The sequence below is a fragment of the Homo sapiens genome, chromosome 4, assembly GCF_000001405.40.
Source record: "Homo sapiens chromosome 4, GRCh38.p14 Primary Assembly".
Classification (NCBI taxonomy): domain Eukaryota; kingdom Metazoa; phylum Chordata; class Mammalia; order Primates; family Hominidae; genus Homo; species Homo sapiens.
The window spans coordinates 79,698,040-79,715,597 of record NC_000004.12 but is presented as its reverse complement, the minus strand read 5'-3'; the positions used below and the strand labels follow the sequence as shown (position 1 = coordinate 79,715,597).

Here is a 17,558-nt window from a genome sequence, read left to right as displayed (position 1 = left end):
GGTGGTACACTCAAATGTTAATACTTAACTATTTTTTAGCCCTTCTGGGAGATATAAAACTGGTTGCCAACAATCATTCAGCTGACTGTGACAGTTTGAGCCAGGAGGTTGGAGTGTTTCATTTTTATATGTAGTCTTTTACATAACCCCTAAGTGTTTGCTATATTCTCTATACCCTCATCTGAGCTGGGTGGTCCCATGCCCAGAGTCCCCTCGGTTTGACAGACAGTAAATCCTCCATTTTATGCTGTGATGGAAATAAGGGTGGGAATGGGTAATAGTTGCTTTGCTGTGTGGTAGATGGGCAGGATCTAGGGTCTCCAATGATGTTCTTTATTGCCTATAAATATGGAATGATATGGTTTGGATGTTTCTCACCTTCAAATCTCTTGTTGAAATGTGATTCCCAATGTTGTTGGTAGGGTTTGGAGAGAAGTGAATTAATCATGGAGGTGAATCTCTCAAGAATGGCTTAGCACCACCCGCTTGGTGATCAGTGAGTTCTTGCTCTTAGTTCACTTGAGATTTGGTTCTTTAAAAAAGCTGGACCTCCTTCTCACACTGTCTCTTGCTCCCACTCTCACCATGTGACCAGCTGACACCCCTTGGCTTTCCACCATGATTGTAAGCTTCCTGAGGCCCTCGCCAGAAGCAGATGCCAGCACCACGCTTCCTGTGCAGCCTACAGAACTTTGAGCCCATTAAATCTCTTTTTTTACCCAGCCTCTGGTATTTCTTTATGTCAATGCAAGAATGGCCTAATATGCTCAGTAAATACTCATTGGACTGACTGATCTTGTCTTTCAACATTAGGGAACTGATTGCTGAACTGAGGAATAGATAATTTAGACCAAGAGTACAGGAAAAATTTAAGCAAAAATTGATACTGTTGAAAATGAAAGTTACCAAAATTGTTAGATCTCTGAAATTTCTAACTGTAACCTATTAGTGATTGTGAATAATATGATTTCTTCACAAAGCCTTTAAAAAAAAACCAGAAACATTACAGAATACATATCCACAATATTTAAAACTCTGCTGCCATATACAGAAAAATTAGAATTTTAACTGGACAATTTTGGAGGTGAAACTGTTTAGTTTTTGCAGGTAGAATTCTAAGTCTGTAGAAAAACAGTTTAATTTCCCTGAAAAGCTCATCATTTTTCTTCTCGAGTTTTTCATGTAGGCTATCTAGGTGAATATTAAAAGTATGAATAAAAATATTTTGTACCCATGATGCTACAGATTGGCATCTTCAAAAGATGAGAGATATTGCCAAGTCTATTGCTAATCAAGTTTCATAATTTACAACCTGTGCAAACTGTGGGCTGAGAACCACAGCAGTTGTGCTGAGCATTTCTGGGACGTTACCATCATCCCAGCACCAATTATTAAAATCTCTCGCACACATTAAAGCTATAAAGATTAAAAATATAGCACACTTGTCATTAAATATGGATGACTTCATGTAATATGCATTATATACAAAAACAATGTCCTGCCACTTGAGCTTTATCATCACCCTACGGAAAATCCACAAACCCAGAGTCCCACATCAAAGCTCATTTTGGCAAAGCCAAGGAACAACTTCCTCATGCAAAATAAACACAGATGTTCCACATTCAGGCAACTGGCTAAGAGGAGATAGTGCATAGGGGGATGCACAGCTCTGTAAAAGATAATGCCTCCTTGCATACCCTATGTTCTGTTCTGTAGAGGCTGCAGACGTTGTTTAAAAGGACCAATTCTGCTGTTTTAAACATTGTATTTCCTGACTGTAGAGCTGTGAACACGTTGAATTAGTTCAGTATGTATGCAGAGGTATGGGAACACTGAAGATGTCAGTTTGGATGTCTTTGAGGTTTCATGAAGAACTAAATTTCACATGCATCTTAAGCACTACCTTTTTTGTCAGTGATTTATTGATTTCTGGCTGTGAAGTATAATATTAATAGCTATATTAATTACAAGAAGGTCTGAGGAAGCAAAAGTTTCTAGCCTCTTCCATTAGCTGACAGTTAATGCTGCCAGGTTCCAAATGACCAGACAGCTGTAATTGACTTCCCTTTGTTTCTTTCATTCTCAGCTAATTGCAATGGAGTATCTTTGCTAAACATATATTCCTGGGGCTCAGATACATTTTTCCTAAAAATTAAAACACAGTTGCAAAAGATGAACAACACATGTTTAGAATTTTTGATATGCGTCCTAGAGTTGTGTCAATATTCAGTTATAGCCTAATTAAAATATCTATTCAAAATAGAGTTTCCCTCTTTCCTCATACTGTCATGTAATTGCCAAGGATAGGATAGGGTAGGATTAGAAAGAGAATAAAAGGATTTGAGTGTTAACTGTGTTTTCAGAAAAAAATATATTTTTTTTTCTGAAAGCCTCTGCCTTTAGTTTCAATATGAAATACATCAGAATCCCATGGAGATAAGAAGTTGTTAAAAGGACAACAAAGTCTTATATTTTTTCCAGCAATGTTGTCTTGATTCTAATGGGAAATGGATCCTGGCAGTCATATTTTAATTAGTAAAAACAAATCTGTAAAAAATGTCTTCGGAAATAAGTAAGCTCTTGAGAAGATGAAGTCTTGTTTATCATTTTCTACCATCTCATATTTTAAGTATTGTGCCTTAGGTGTGACAAGCAGAGTTTTTAGCCTCTGCCCTGTTTTCCTGTCATGCTACAAGTATTTGTGTTTACTTCTGCTCTCTTTATTGGAATGTCCTTTACATTTTTCTAACAGTGCACTCATTAATATTTTGAGCATACCTGTCAAATATGTATTTATTTATTGTTTTATGAGTTATATATCAGTACTATTAGACTAATATATACATTTAAGGTATGCTGAAAAATAAAAATTAAAGACAGATGAGGCAAAAATAAAGTTAAATATTTTAATTTTATTTTTTACTATTATTTCAAAAACCTTCTCATATTATAATTTTATTTTGGATTCCAAAATAAAAGACTGAGAGCAATGCAATCAATGTAACTAAATGTGCTTTTCAAATCTGTTTTAAACTTTATAATACAGAAATTCAAAGCTCTGGTTCTTAAGTATTATTTATTTCCACACATGGTTATAATAACTGTCATGGTCGAAAAAGAGACTTTATAGAAATATGTTGAGCCAAATGAGAGGAGACATTTTTGGTTGTGATTACTAAAACATCATGTAATTTTAAAATCCCATTCCCTGTTATAGTAAAACTATTTCTATTGAAATTTGACTAATAAATTTTCACCTTCTCTGATGTCAATCACTTTTCCTTGCAAAGTAATCAGAAAGTACTATATTAATGTTAACAAACTACTTCAAAAGCCACACTTTTTTTCTAAATTTAAAGCATGCCCAGATTAGAAAATATTATATATCTTTATTTATTTTGGGCTAAAACTAATCACTCAATAATGGGGACATTTTAAGATGCCTTCTCCACTGTCCAAGTTACTTTCTTAGTTGTTAAAGTGCTACCTTTACCTTGAAGGGATATGTTTGAAAATTTCCCCAAAATATCTGCTAGGTAGCATCCTCCTGTCAGCCACTTGTCATCACAGAAAAGGTCAGTAAATTTGAAATGCTTTACTCTTCATAATAGAAGAATGAATAGCTCATATTTTAATTCTCAGAATTGTTTGGGCATTACCAAGAGATAAGAAGTGAACTTTTATGGGCTTAAAAAAAGGCATGATTTCTTTCTGCTTAATACAAGATAATGCAATTATTCTATTATATTTAAAATATCTTATTCTGATATAATGACTATATTATGAAATATCCAATAATTTTTATATTTCTCATTTCAACTTCTTTTCTGCAATAGATAAAATGATACAATGCATAAATTTCATAAATGGTACTATTGATCAATATAATCCCAGAATTCAATTTCATTTGGAGCAACTACTCAGAGTTTGGACTTTCAAAGTTGGACTTACATCACATATTGGTTTTGGAAATATTTTCTTTAAAATGTCAATACTGTTAAAGTATGTCTTCGCTTGTTCGCTAGCATAGCTTTTCTTTAATAGTTCATAAAAACACTTATTTATATGTTTCATTATAGAAATATAATCTGGAAAATACCATAAACCAAGATACCTGTGAGCAGGTGATTGCTGAAAAGGTAACTTGAATGAAATTCCTTCTCCTACTTCTTATTTCCAGCTCTTTGTCTCTCTGGTCTAAAAGGTGCTGGGACCTAGATACAGCTGGGGTTGAGTCTTGAGGCTATGTTGTGCTTTTATCTGTTCTAGCAGAAAGAATAGAAAAGTTGTTGGTGAGCTTCCACCTCATCCCTGCTGTGCTCCATCCATGTGTCCCTTACAGGTCCCTCAGCAGGGACTGAGAGCCTGCCAGCTTCCACAACACAGGATCACAGAGTTAGAGACCTTCTGTGATATTCTGCGCATATATCCCCCCTTTATTTCCTTTCTCTAAAAAATAGTGTGGAGAAAGAATGCAATTATGTCCTTTGTGGGAACATGGATGAAACTGGAGGCCGTTATCCTTAGAAAACTAATGCAGGAACAAAAAACCAAATACCACAAGTTTTCACTTACAGTTGGGAGCTAAACAGTGAGATCACATGGGCACGTAGAGGGGAACAACATACACTGGGGCCTATTGCAAGGTGGAGGGTGGGAGGAGGGAGAGGATCAGGAATGATAACTAATGGGTACTAGACATATTATCTAGGTGACAAAATAATATGTACAACAAACCCCCACGAAACAAGTTTACCTATGTAACAAACCTGCATATGTACCATGAACTTAAAATAAAAGTTAATTTTTTAAAAGAGAGTATGTATTTCTTAACAGAAATAGAGTAGACTAAAAAATTTACAGAATCCATTTTAAAAAATTTTTATGAAATTCACGAAAGTGAATAAATGGATAATAAATTGAAACATGGAAATTTTTGAAAACTAAAAAAATAAAATTTTGATATTTTATATATATGATTTTTGGTCAGATCTCTTTTTTTTTTTTTTTTAATTTTTTTTTTTTTTTTTTTATACTCTAAGTTTTAGGGTACATGTGCACATTGTGCAGGTTAGTTACATATGTATACATGTGCCATGCTGGTGCGCTGCACCCACTAATGTGTCATCTAGCATTAGGTATATCTCCCAATGCTATCCCTTCCCCATCCCCCGACCCCACCACAGTCCCCAGAGTGTGATATTCCCCTTCCTGTGTCCATGTGATCTCATTGTTCAATTCCCACCTATGAGTGAGAATATGCGGTGTTTGGTTTTTTGTTCTTGCGATAGTTTACTGAGAATGATGGTTTCCAATTTCATCCATGTCCCTACAAAGGACATGAACTCATCATTTTTTATGGCTGCATAGTATTCCATGGTGTATATGTGCCACATTTTCTTAATCCAGTCTATCATTGTTGGACATTTGGGTTGGTTCCAAGTCTTTGCTATTGTGAATAGTGCTGCAATAAACATACGTGTGCATGTGTCTTTATAGCAGCATGATTTATAGTCCTTTGGGTATATACCCAGTAATGGGATGGCTGGGTCAAATGGTATTTCTAGTTCTAGATCCCTGAGGAATGGCCACACTGACTTCCACAATGGTTGAACTAGTTTACAGTCCCACCAACAGTGTAAAAGTGTTCCTATTTCTCCACATCCTGTCCAGCACCTGTTGTTTCCTGACTTTTTAATGATTGCCATTCTAACTGGTGTGAGATGATATCTCATAGTGGTTTTGATTTGCATTTCTCTGATGGCCAGTGATGATGAGCATTTCTTCACGTGTTTTTTGGCTGCATAAATGTCTTCTTTTGAGAAGTGTCTGTTCATGTCCTTCGCCCACTTTTTGATGGGGTTGTTTGTTTTTTTCTTGTAAATTTGTTTGAGTTCATTGTAGATTCTGGATATTAGCCCTTTGTCAGATGAGTAGGTTGCGAAAATTTTCTCCCATGTTGTAGGTTGCCTGTTCACTCTGATGGTAGTTTCTTTTGCTGTGCAGAAGCTCTTGAGTTTAATTAGATCCCATTTGTCAATTTTGGCTTTTGTTGCCATTGCTTTTGGTGTTTTGGACATGAAGTCCTTGCCCACGCCTATGTCCTGAATGGTAATGCCTAGGTTTTCTTCTAGGGTTTTTATGGTTTTAGGTCTAACGTTTAAATCTTTAATCCATCTTGAATTGATTTTTGTATAAGGTGTAAGGAAGGGATCCAGTTTCAGCTTTCTACATATGGCTAGCCAGTTTTCCCAGCACCATTTATTAAATAGGGAATCCTTTCCCCATTGCTTGTTTTTCTCAGGTTTGTCAAAGATCAGATAGTTGTAGATATGCGGCATTATTTCTGAGGGCTCTGTTCTGTTCCATTGATCTATATCTCTGTTTTGGTACCAGTACCATGCTGTTTTGGTTACTGTAGCCTTGTAGTATAGTTTGAAGTCAGGTAGTGTGATGCCTCCAGCTTTGTTCTTTTGGCTTAGGATTGACTTGGCAATGCGGGCTCTTTTTTGGTTCCATATGAACTTTAAAGTAGTTTTTTCCAATTCTGTGAAGAAAGTCATTGGTAGCTTGATGGGGATGGCATTGAATCTGTAAATTACCTTGGGCAGTATGGCCATTTTCACGATATTGATTCTTCCTACCCATGAGCATGGAATGTTCTTCCATTTGTTTGTGTCCTTTTTTATTTCCTTGAGCAGTGGTTTGTAGTTCTCCTTGAAGAGGTCCTTCACATCCCTTGTAAGTTGGATTCCTAGGTATTTTATTCTCTTTGAAGCAATTGTGAATGGGAGTTCACTCATGATTTGGCTCTCTGTTTGTCTGTTGTTGGTGTATAAGAATGCTTGTGATTTTTGTACATTGATTTTGTATCCTGAGACTTTGCTGAAATTGCTTATCAGCTTAAGGAGATTTTGGGCTGAGACGATGGGGTTTTCTAGATATACAATCATGTCGTCTGCAAACAGGGACAATTTGACTTCCTCTTTTCCTAATTGAATACCCTTTATTTCCTTCTCCTGCCTGATTGCCCTGGCCAGAACTTCCAACACTATGTTGAATAGGAGCGGTGAGAGAGGGCATCCCTGTCTTGTGCCAGTTTTCAAAGGGAATGCTTCCAGTTTTTGCCCATTCAGTATGATATTGGCTGTGGGTTTGTCATAGATAGCTCTTATTATTCTGAAATACGTCCCATCAATACCTAATTTATTGAGAGTTTTTAGCATGAAGGGTTGTTGAATTTTGTCAAAGGCTTTTTCTGCATCTATTGAGATAATCATGTGGTTTTTGTCTTTGTCTCTGTTTATATGCTGGATTACATTTATTGATTTGCGTATATTAAACCAGCCTTGCATCCCAGGGATGAAGCCCACTTGATCATGGTGGATAAGCTTTTTGATGTGCTGCTGGACTCGGTTTGCTAGTATTTTATTGAGGATTTTTGCATCAATGTTCATCAAGGATATTGGTCTAAAATTCTCTTTTTTGGTTGTGTCTCTGCCCGGCTTTGGTATCAGAATGATGCTGGCCTCATAAAATGAGTTAGGGAGGATTCTCTCTTTTTCTATTGATTGGAATAGTTTCAGAAGGAATGGTACCAGTTCCTCCTTGTACCTCTGGTAGAATTCGGCTGTGAATCCATCTGGTCCTGGACTCTTTTTGGTTGGTAAACTATTGATTATTGCCACAATTTCAGAGCCTGTTATTGGTCTATTCAGAGATTCAACTTCTTCCTGGTTTAGTCTTGGGAGAGTGTATGTGTCGAGGAATGTATCCATTTCTTCTAGATTTTCTAGTTTATTTGCGTAGAGGTGTTTGTAGTATTCTCTGATGGTAGTTTGTATTTCTGTGGGATCGGTGGTGATATCCCCTTTATCATTTTTTATTGTGTCTATTTGATTCTTCTCTCTTTTTTTCTTTATTAGTCTTGCTAGCGGTCTATCAATTTTGTTGATCCTTTCAAAAAACCAGCTCCTGGATTCATTGATTTTTTGAAGGGTTTTTTGTGTCTCTATTTCCTTCAGTTCTGCTCTGATTTTAGTTATTTCTTGCCTTCTGCCAGCTTTTGAATGTGTTTGCTCTTGCTTTTCTAGTTCTTTTAATTGTGATGTTAGGGTGTCAATTTTGGATCTTTCCTGCTTTCTCTTGTAGGCGTTTAGTGCTATAAATTTCCCTCTACACACTGCTTTGAATGCGTCCCAGAGATTCTGGTATGTGGTGTCTTTGTTCTCGTTGGTTTCAAAGAACATCTTTATTTCTGCCTTCATTTTGTTATGTACCCAGTAGTCATTCAGGAGCAGGTTGTTCAGTTTCCATGTAGTTGAGCGGCTTTGAGTGAGATTCTTAATCCTGAGTTCTAGTTTGATTGCACTGTGGTCTGAGAGATAGTTTGTTATAATTTCTGTTCTTTTACATTTGCTGAGGAGAGCTTTACTTCCAACTATGTGGTCAATTTTGGAATAGGTGTGGTGTGTTGCTGAAAAAAATGTATATTCTGTTGATTTGGGGTGGAGAGTTCTGTAGATGTCTATTAGGTCTGCTTGGTGCAGAGCTGAGTTCAATTCCTGGGTATCCTTGTTGACTTTCTGTCTCGTTGATCTGTCTAATGTTGACAGTGGGGTGTTAAAGTCTCCCATTATTAATGTGTGGGAGTCTAAGTCTCTTTGTAGGTCACTCAGGACTTGCTTTATGAATCTGGGTGCTCCTGTATTGGGTGCATAAATATTTAGGATAGTTAGCTCCTCTTGTTGAATTGATCCCTTTACCATTATGTAATGGCCTTCTTTGTCTCTTTTGATCTTTGTTGGTTTAAAGTCTGTTTTATCAGAGACTAGGATTGCAACCCCTGCCTTTTTTTGTTTTCCATTGGCTTGGTAGATCTTCCTCCATCCTTTTATTTTGAGCCTATGTGTGTCTCTGCACGTGAGATGGGTTTCCTGAATACAGCACACTGATGGGTCTTGACTCTTTATCCAGTTTGCCAGTCTGTGTCTTTTAATTGCAGAATTTAGTCCATTTATATTTAAAGTTAATATTGTTATGTGTCAATTTGATCCTGTCATTATGATGTTAGCTGGTGATTTTGCTCATTAGTTGATGCAGTTTCTTCCTAGTCTCGATGGTCTTTACATTTTGGCATGATTTTGCAGCGGCTGGTACCGGTTGTTCCTTTCCATGTTTAGCGCTTCCTTCAGGAGCTCTTTTAGGGCAGGCCTGGTGGTGACAAAATCTCTCAGCATTTGCTTGTCTATAAAGTATTTTATTTCTCCTTCACTTATGAAGCTTAGTTTGGCTGGATATGAAATTCTGGGTTGAAAATTCTTTTCTTTAAGAATGTTGAATATTGGCCCCCACTCTCTTCTGGCTTGTAGGGTTTCTGCCGAGAGATCCGCCGTTAGACTGATGGGCTTTCCTTTGAGGGTAACCCGACCTTTCTCTCTGGCTGCCCTTAACATTTTTTCCTTCATTTCAACTTTGGTGAATCTGACAATTATGTGTCTTGGAGTTGCTCTTCTCGAGGAGTATCTTTGTGGCGTTCTCTGTATTTCCTGAATCTGAACGTTGGCCTGCCTTGCTAGATTGGGGAAGTTCTCCTGGATAATATCCTGCAGAGTGTTTTCCAACTTGGTTCCATTCTCCACATCACTTTCAGGTACACCAATCAGACGTAGATTTGGTCTTTTCACATAGTCCCATATTTCTTGGAGGCTTTGCTCATTTCTTTTTATTCTTTTTTCTCTAAACTTCCCTTCTCGCTTCATTTCATTCATTTCATCTTCCATTGCTGATACCCTTTCTTCCAGTTGATCGCATCGGCTCCTGAGGCTTCTGCATTCTTCATGTAGTTCTCGAGCCTTGGTTTTCAGCTCCATCAGCTCCTTTAAGCACTTCTCTGTATTGGTTATTCTAGTTATACATTCTTCTAAATTTTTTTCAAAGTTTTCAACTTCTTTGCCTTTGGTTTGAATGTCCTCCCGTAGCTCAGAGTAATTTGATCGTCTGAAGCCTTCTTCTCTCAGCTCGTCAAAATCATTCTCCATCCAGCTTTGTTCCGTTGCTGGTGAGGAACTGCGTTCCTTTGGAGGAGGAGAGGCGCTCTGCGTTTTAGAGTTTCCAGTTTTTCTGTTCTGTTTTTTCCCCATCTTTGTGGTTTTATCTACTTTTGGTCTTTGATGATGGTGATGTACAGATGGGTTTTCGGTGTAGATGTCCTTTCTGGTTGTTAGTTTTCCTTCTAACAGACAGGACCCTCAGCTGCAGGTCTGTTGGAATACCCTGCCGTGTGAGGTGTCAGTGTGCCCCTGCTGGGGGGTGCCTCCCAGTTAGGCTGCTCGGGGGTCAGGGGTCAGGGACCCACTTGAGGAGGCAGTCTGCCCGTTCTCAGATCTCCAGCTGCGTGCTGGGAGAACCACTGCTCTCTTCAAAGCTGTCAGACAGGGACACTTAAGTCTGCAGAGGTTACTGCTGTCTTTTTGTTTGTCTGTGCCCTGCCCCCAGAGGTGGAGCCTACAGAGGCAGGCAGGCCTCCTTGAGCTGTGGTGGGCTCCACCCAGTTCGAGCTTCCCGGCTGCTTTGTTTACCTAAGCAAGCCTGGGCAATGGCGGGCGCCCCTCCCCCAGCCTCGTTGCCGCCTTGCAGTTTGATCTCAGACTGCTGTGCTAGCAATCAGCGAGATTCCGTGGGCATAGGACCCTCTGAGCCAGGTGTGGGATATAGTCTCGTGGTGCGCCGTTTCTTAGGCCGGTCTGAAAAGCGCAATATTAGGGTGGGAGTGACCCGATTTTCCAGGTGCGTCCGTCACCCCTTTCTTTGACTCGGAAAGGGAACTCCCTGACCCCTTGCGCTTCCCAGGTGAGGCAATGCCTCGCCCTGCTTCGGCTCGCGCACGGTGCGCGCACACACTGGCCTGCGCCCACTGTCTGGCACTCCCTAGTGAGATGAACCCGGTATCTCAGATGGAAATGCAGAAATCACCCGTCTTCTGCGTCGCTCACGCTGGGAGCTGTAGACCGGAGCTGTTCCTATTCGGCCATCTTGGCTCCTCCACCGATTTTTGGTCAGATCTTATCAGATTATCATTGTTTTTCCTTCTAAGGTAGTCATAAATAAGTCGCACTAAAAGTTTCCCATACTTGTATTTTAGAATTCTTTTTTGAGGCTCTCCTAATCCTACTCCAACTGAGCTGTTGCCCCTCCACATCATTGAAACTCCACTTGTCAACATCACCATAACTTTGTGCATTATCTAATCCACCTGCTGTCTTCCTCATTTCCATCCTTTGTTTGCTCAGATAAATACCATTGGCATTCCCTTCAACTCCTGTCTTTCTCTAGCATCACATGTCCAATTTGTCAGAAAATCCTGTTGTCATCCTACTTTCAAAAGTCCTACTTTCAGAAACAATATCCACTGCTACCTTCCTGGTTCAAGACATCATTAGCTCTATTCTGTATTATTTTTGGTTTCCTTATTTCTGCTCTTATCCCTTCATGGTCTGTTCTCAATACTCCATCCAAGCGATTTTTTAAATTATAAAAGTGTAATTCAAATCACATGTTTCTTCTGCTTAAAACCTTTAGTAGTTTAGTCTTTTGAGAAAGATAATTTGTATGTTCATCTTTGATTAGTCTCTATTAGGAGCTATATCAAATCTGTCATATATTTATACATTATGTACTATATACATTCTATAGGTATAGTCACTAAATAAACAATGCAGTAAAAATCAGCATAATTGTATGAAAATTATCTTCAATTAATACATCTTACCTTGGAAGGAAATATATGGATTACAACAAAGCATGTAGTGTGTATGCTAAAATTAGTTATGATAATATAGGAAGATTATATTATAAACCACAATATCTTATGCAAATATGTCAATTCATTAATTCAATCCAATTTATTGAGTACCGGTTAAGAACCAGATGCTGTTCCAGATGCTGGAGAAACAGCAACACAAGATAAAGTCCCTGTGTTTATTATTTAGTTCAATCCTCTCATTTTACAAAAAAGGCAAGTTTGTCTAGCACAAAGTAGAAAGCTACTAAAATATAGAATGTTAAGAACTATAATTTCAGGACTTTTATGCACGTAGAAACACATATATAGCACAGTGTCTGTCTCATAGCAAGCATTTAATATGGTAGCTCTTGTGCTGCATATTTTCTCATTTAGTTATTATAACAGACTTACGGAGTGAGTTCTATTATTTTCTTAATTTTTCACTCAGAAAATGTGGCTTGGAGAGGTCAAATCATTTGGCCAAATTCATAAAGCTAGCAGGCAGAAAATCCAGGACTCAAATTTAGGTTTTCTGACTCCAAAATTGATGTTTTTAACTATCCTGAATGGCAAACTAAAGCTACTTTGACACAAAATTAGTGTGACTTTGGGTCTTTAAGAGCTGCATAGAGGTATCAGACATCTTTAAGTCCAGCACAAAAGATATACTAATAATAATTAAAATTGGTTAAATTTTCTCACAAAAGCTTTATTTATGATTTTTCTTTTGCTAGAAAATAAAAATGTAAAAAATAAGTATGGGGGACTTCCATTTATAGAAATATACACTAGACTCAATTTTCTATATTCTTCCTCTACAGGTAAAGACACTGAACAGTATATGTAAAAAGGATATCAGAAGACTCTGAAAGGTAGAGAGAAGAAAGAAGACTTGCCTCAGGACCTGAAGAAAGACGTGGTGGTGGGTTCCCAGAATTATTTTTTCATTCAAACATCACAAGCTTGAAGCTGAAAAAGCCAGCAACCCAGAAATGAACGGGCAAAAATAGACTTTCAAAAAGCCTGCTCCCTCTAGTTGAAGGACCAAAAAAAAAAGGAAAGCCTAGTAATACAGAAAACATTCAGACAATAATTTTTCTACTCCAGTGAAACGCCATAAAAGAAACAGATGAAAAAGCAGAGTGACCCTACTCCTAGCCATACCAGCAAGGGCCTAGTCGGTGCCTAGACTTCTACACTCTTTAGGCTGTAATGTGGCATCCAACAGCCTTGCCAGGGTAGTGTAAGATTAGACAATGTAGGAAGCTAGAACTTCTATCCGCACCATCTGGTAATGAGTGACTCTCCCAAATCTCCCTCACATGGTAAAAATGTCAGTGAAGAACATATAGGGAGTCTAGTCTTCCATCTCCACCTGGCAGTAATGAGGTACTCCTCCCTCTCCCCGCTAGAGTGGTGTCAGAGGAGATCTAGTGGAGAGTGATGGCTTTGGGCATTAACTCTCAAATGGAGAGGCTACCTGGGAATCCAGAACACCCATCTTATCCAGGAGTAAGGAGGAACTCCCCAACTCAGGTGCCAGTGGAGGCCAAGTTAGGAAGCTGAATATCTACGCCCACCTAGTAGTAATACTACAGTGTGCCCAAAACCCTTTTCTCTGCCAGAATGATGTGAGGGAAAACCAGGTTTAAAAGAATGTTTTAAATAAGATCTAGACTGTCATCATAACATCACATAGAAATGTCCAGATTTCAATAAAAAAATAAAGAACCAGAAAGATCTCCAATTGAAAAAATAATAAATAAATAGATGACAACACTGAGATAACAGAGATGTTAGAATTGTCAAAGATTTTAAAGCACCCGTGACTTTTAAAAAATGACCCAGTGAACAATTATAAACATGCCAGAAACAAATAAAAATATAGCAAAGAAATGTCAAGTCTCAGAAAATAAATAGAAGAAATAAAGGAAATCAAATGAACATTTTAAAACTTAAAAATGCAATATCCAACAGAAGAATGATGTGGACAGAAGAAAGAATCAGTGACCCGGAAGTTAGATAAATAGGAGCTACTCAATGTGAATAACAGAAAATAGACTGAAAAAACGAACAGAACCCTAGAGACTTTGGAACTATAACAAAAGATCTAACATTCATGCTATCAGAATCATGAATGTGGGAAAAGTATGTGAAGAAACAATGGCTGAAAACTTCCCAAATTGGTGTGACACATAGCTACAGGTTCAAGAGACTAAATGGATCACAAATAGGATAAACCCAAAGAAACACACACCAAAACACATAATAATTAAAATTCTGAAAATTAAGGAGAAAGAAAAAATCTTGAAGGCTATGAGAAAGAAATGCCACCTTACCTTTAGGGCAAAAACAATTGGAATAATGGTGGGTTTTTTATCAAACATCGTGGAGGCCAGAAGTAAGTAAATATACACATAATACACGCTCTAGCAGGTGTACTTCTAGGCATTTATCTCAGAGAAATGAGGTCTTATGTTTACACAAAACCAAATGTTTATAGTGACTTGCAATAGGTGAATAATGGAAACAGCTCAGATTTTGCTCAACAGATGAATAGTTCAACAAACTGTGGTACATTCATGCTCTAGAATATTATTTAGCAATAAAAAAAAAAACAGGCCAGGCATGGCTGCTCATGCCTGTAATATCAGCACTTTGGGAGGCTGAGGCAGGAGGTAGCTTGAGCTCAGGAGTTCGAGACCAGCTTGGGAAACATAGGAAGATTCTGTCTCTACAAAATAAAATTTAAAACAACAGCAACAAAATCCCCTAGCCAGGTGTGATGGCATGTGCCTGTGGTCCCAGTTACTCAGGAGGCTGAGGTAGGAGGATCGCTTGGGCCTGGGAGGTCGAGGCTACACTTAGTCGTGATGGTGCCACTGCACTCCAGCCTGGGTGACAGAGTAAGATTCTGTCTCGAAAAGAAAAGAAAAGAAAAGAAAAACAGGAAAAAAGAAAAGAAAAGAACAATCAAATTATGAATATGTGCAACAACATGAGTGAATCTCTAGAGAATTATGCTGAATGAAAAAAATCAATCTCAAAATGTTGTATATTATGTGACTCCATTTATATAACATTTTTGAAATGATAAAAGTATTAAAATGGATAAAGATGAGTGGTTTCCAGGATTTAAAAAGAGTAGAGTGGGAAAAAGTGGGTGTGGTCAGGGAAGGTAAAAATGAGGCATCCTCATAGTGATGAAAATATTCTGGATCTTAGCAATGTCAATATACTGGCTGTGATGTCATACTGTAGTGTTGCAAGATGTTATCATTGGTAAAGTCAGGGACATGGACAAATAGGCAAAAACTGTGTCAAGCAAAGGAGAAGGGAATGTGTATGAAGAAATTAAGAATGTTGTGGGAGTGCCAGAAATTATACTCACTGGGATTTTAGGGATTAGAGAAATTTCTGCAAGAAGTGACAATATGAATATTTAAGTTGTTGTTTTTTACTCTATGTTCTTACCAATTACATGGATAATAGTGTTTAATGTAACAGTGAAAATGCAGTTACTATGGAGAAATATATTATTAGCCACAGGTGTATTTACTATTAGAGTAATGATGGGGAATATTTGTTCTCCTTTTAGCTTGTCAAATTTCATGAAAAACTCTTTGAAATTTTCATTTTAATTATATTGAATCTATGCATTTATTTAATACAAAGCAGCATCTTTGTAATCTTGAGTTTTGAAAAACAATTTGGGTTATCTCTTAATTTTAAAAAATATTTTAATGTCCTCCACAAAAGTTTTATAATATTCTGGATACAAATTTCATGCATTTTTAAGATATTTTTCCTTTATGACTCTTAAGTATTTTATTGTTATAGTAAATATAAAAGTATCTCATTAAATTTTCTATTTGTTGCTACTATATATGCTATTTACCTTAATAACATCTTACTTCTAAAAATTTGTGTAGAGATTCTTCAGATTTTTAGTGTACTATCATCTGAGAATAAAACGTAATGTCTTCCTAACCAATCATTAAATCTTACATTTATTTTTCTTGTCTTAGTGTATTAATTAAAAGTACAGAAGAATTATCAAGTACAGCTGGTGATCATAGCCATTCTTATTCCCTTATTTTGAAGAGAATGCTTCTAATGCTTTCCCCATTACTGATTATATTTGCTCTAGGCTTTTGTGTGTGAGTATGTGTGGATGGGGCAGTGGTAGAGAATTCAAAGATGTAACTTTGAAGGTTAAACATGTGGTGATATCATTAATTAATATCAGAAATATAGGGGAATGAGAAATATGAGTAGGGAGTACAGGGCAGAAGTTCCTTCCACTGGTGACAACGACATGCAAGTCCAGCATTGCACTCTTTACCTCTACTCGGTACTCAGATATGTTCATCCTTCAAATCCATCGTACAGCATTCTTGGATTCTCTCAGAAAATCTTAGACTCATCTTTTTCTACATGTCCACTGAACTCTGCATACATTAGCTTTGCAGCAATTATAGCACTGTGCAGAAATAGTACATTTACATGCCTATTGGCCAACATTATATCAGGTATTCTTTTTCATTTTATCAACCTCACATCCAGTCTCTCAATTAAAAGCCCTGTCAATTTATCTATAAAGTAGGCTTTGAATCTATCGATTCAAAGTCAATTACTATATTGCCTATATGTTTAAAAGATTGCTAAATTGACTACTTTCTTCAGTCTAAGCCCCCATTGCCTCCCTCCTGAACTGGTATCATAGCTTCCGGCCTTCACTCTCATCCCACTAGTCTGTGCTCCATAGAGCAGCCTTGGTGATCAATTAAAATAGAAATAAAATCATGCCACTCCTTAGCCAATGGCTTCCTATATATTTGGAACAAAATTCAAACTTCTTACCTTGGCTTAACAATACCTATATTATTTGGCATCTTTTTACTGAATGCCAGAATTACTGGCCTTCTTTCAGTTGTGTAGGCAAATCCTGCTTCTCTCACCTTGAGGCCTTGGTAGGTAATATTGTTTCTCACCAGAATCTTCTCACTAATCTTCTTATGGCAAACACTCTTCTGTCACTCAGATCTCAACCCATTACCACCTGAGAGGCCTTCCCTGTTTATTCAATAAAGCAGATAATCACGTTTATCAAATTATATAATTTTCCATTTTAGTTTTCTGCACAGCAATTATCACCATCTAATATTTTTCATGTTACTATATGTTTTATTGTATTTTCCTTTTATTAGAATATAAAATCAATGAGAGCACAAACACCCTATTTTTCTTCAATGTTGAATCTCTTATGCCCTGGTGAATGAAAAGGGCGTGTGTAAACTTATTGAATGTATCTGATGTATACATATGTCTGTCTCCTCCCTGAGCTGTGAGAATTCATGAGGGTGGGGTTCATTTGCTAATTTTTAGGCAAAAAACACTTAGCAAAATTTCTAGAATAATCCCAAGCCCCCTGATGTGTACTATAACATTCTTCTCTCACAACTATACCTACAAAAATTCTGGTCGTTCTATAAAATTTTTGAAGATTCCTTATCTTTCTCTTAGTAATTCTTCTCACTTCTGGGGTCTCCCATATCTTAGTGGATAAAGCAAAGGCTCTGCTCTCAGTACTAATAGTCCACTCCATAACAAAACAAGCCAATGAAAACCAAACCAAGACAAAGTAAAGAAAAAGTACTGTTGACAAAATAGTTTCAGTCCCAGTGCCAAAATTCTGTTTGTATGATCGAATGATTTAAAAAATTTTTGGTCAGTGCCTCGTTAACACAGTCAAATATATGTTCACATACAC

At 37.3% G+C, this 17,558-nt stretch overlaps 1 long non-coding RNA gene across 3 annotated transcripts in view; it reads left to right on the top strand.

The window, feature by feature from the left end:
* Positions 1–17,558, top strand: part of LOC105377302 (uncharacterized) — a 47,430-nt gene that overhangs the window by 28,744 nt on the left and 1,128 nt on the right. For 2 of the 3 annotated variants that reach the window (XR_938924.3, XR_938926.3), the window contains 2 exons: positions 4,080–4,139; positions 12,607–14,421. This is a non-coding gene — a long non-coding RNA (uncharacterized LOC105377302). Of the gene's footprint in view, positions 1–4,079; positions 4,140–12,606; positions 14,422–17,558 lie in introns of those variants that run through there. The other variant, XR_938927.3, reaches the window with a different exon arrangement.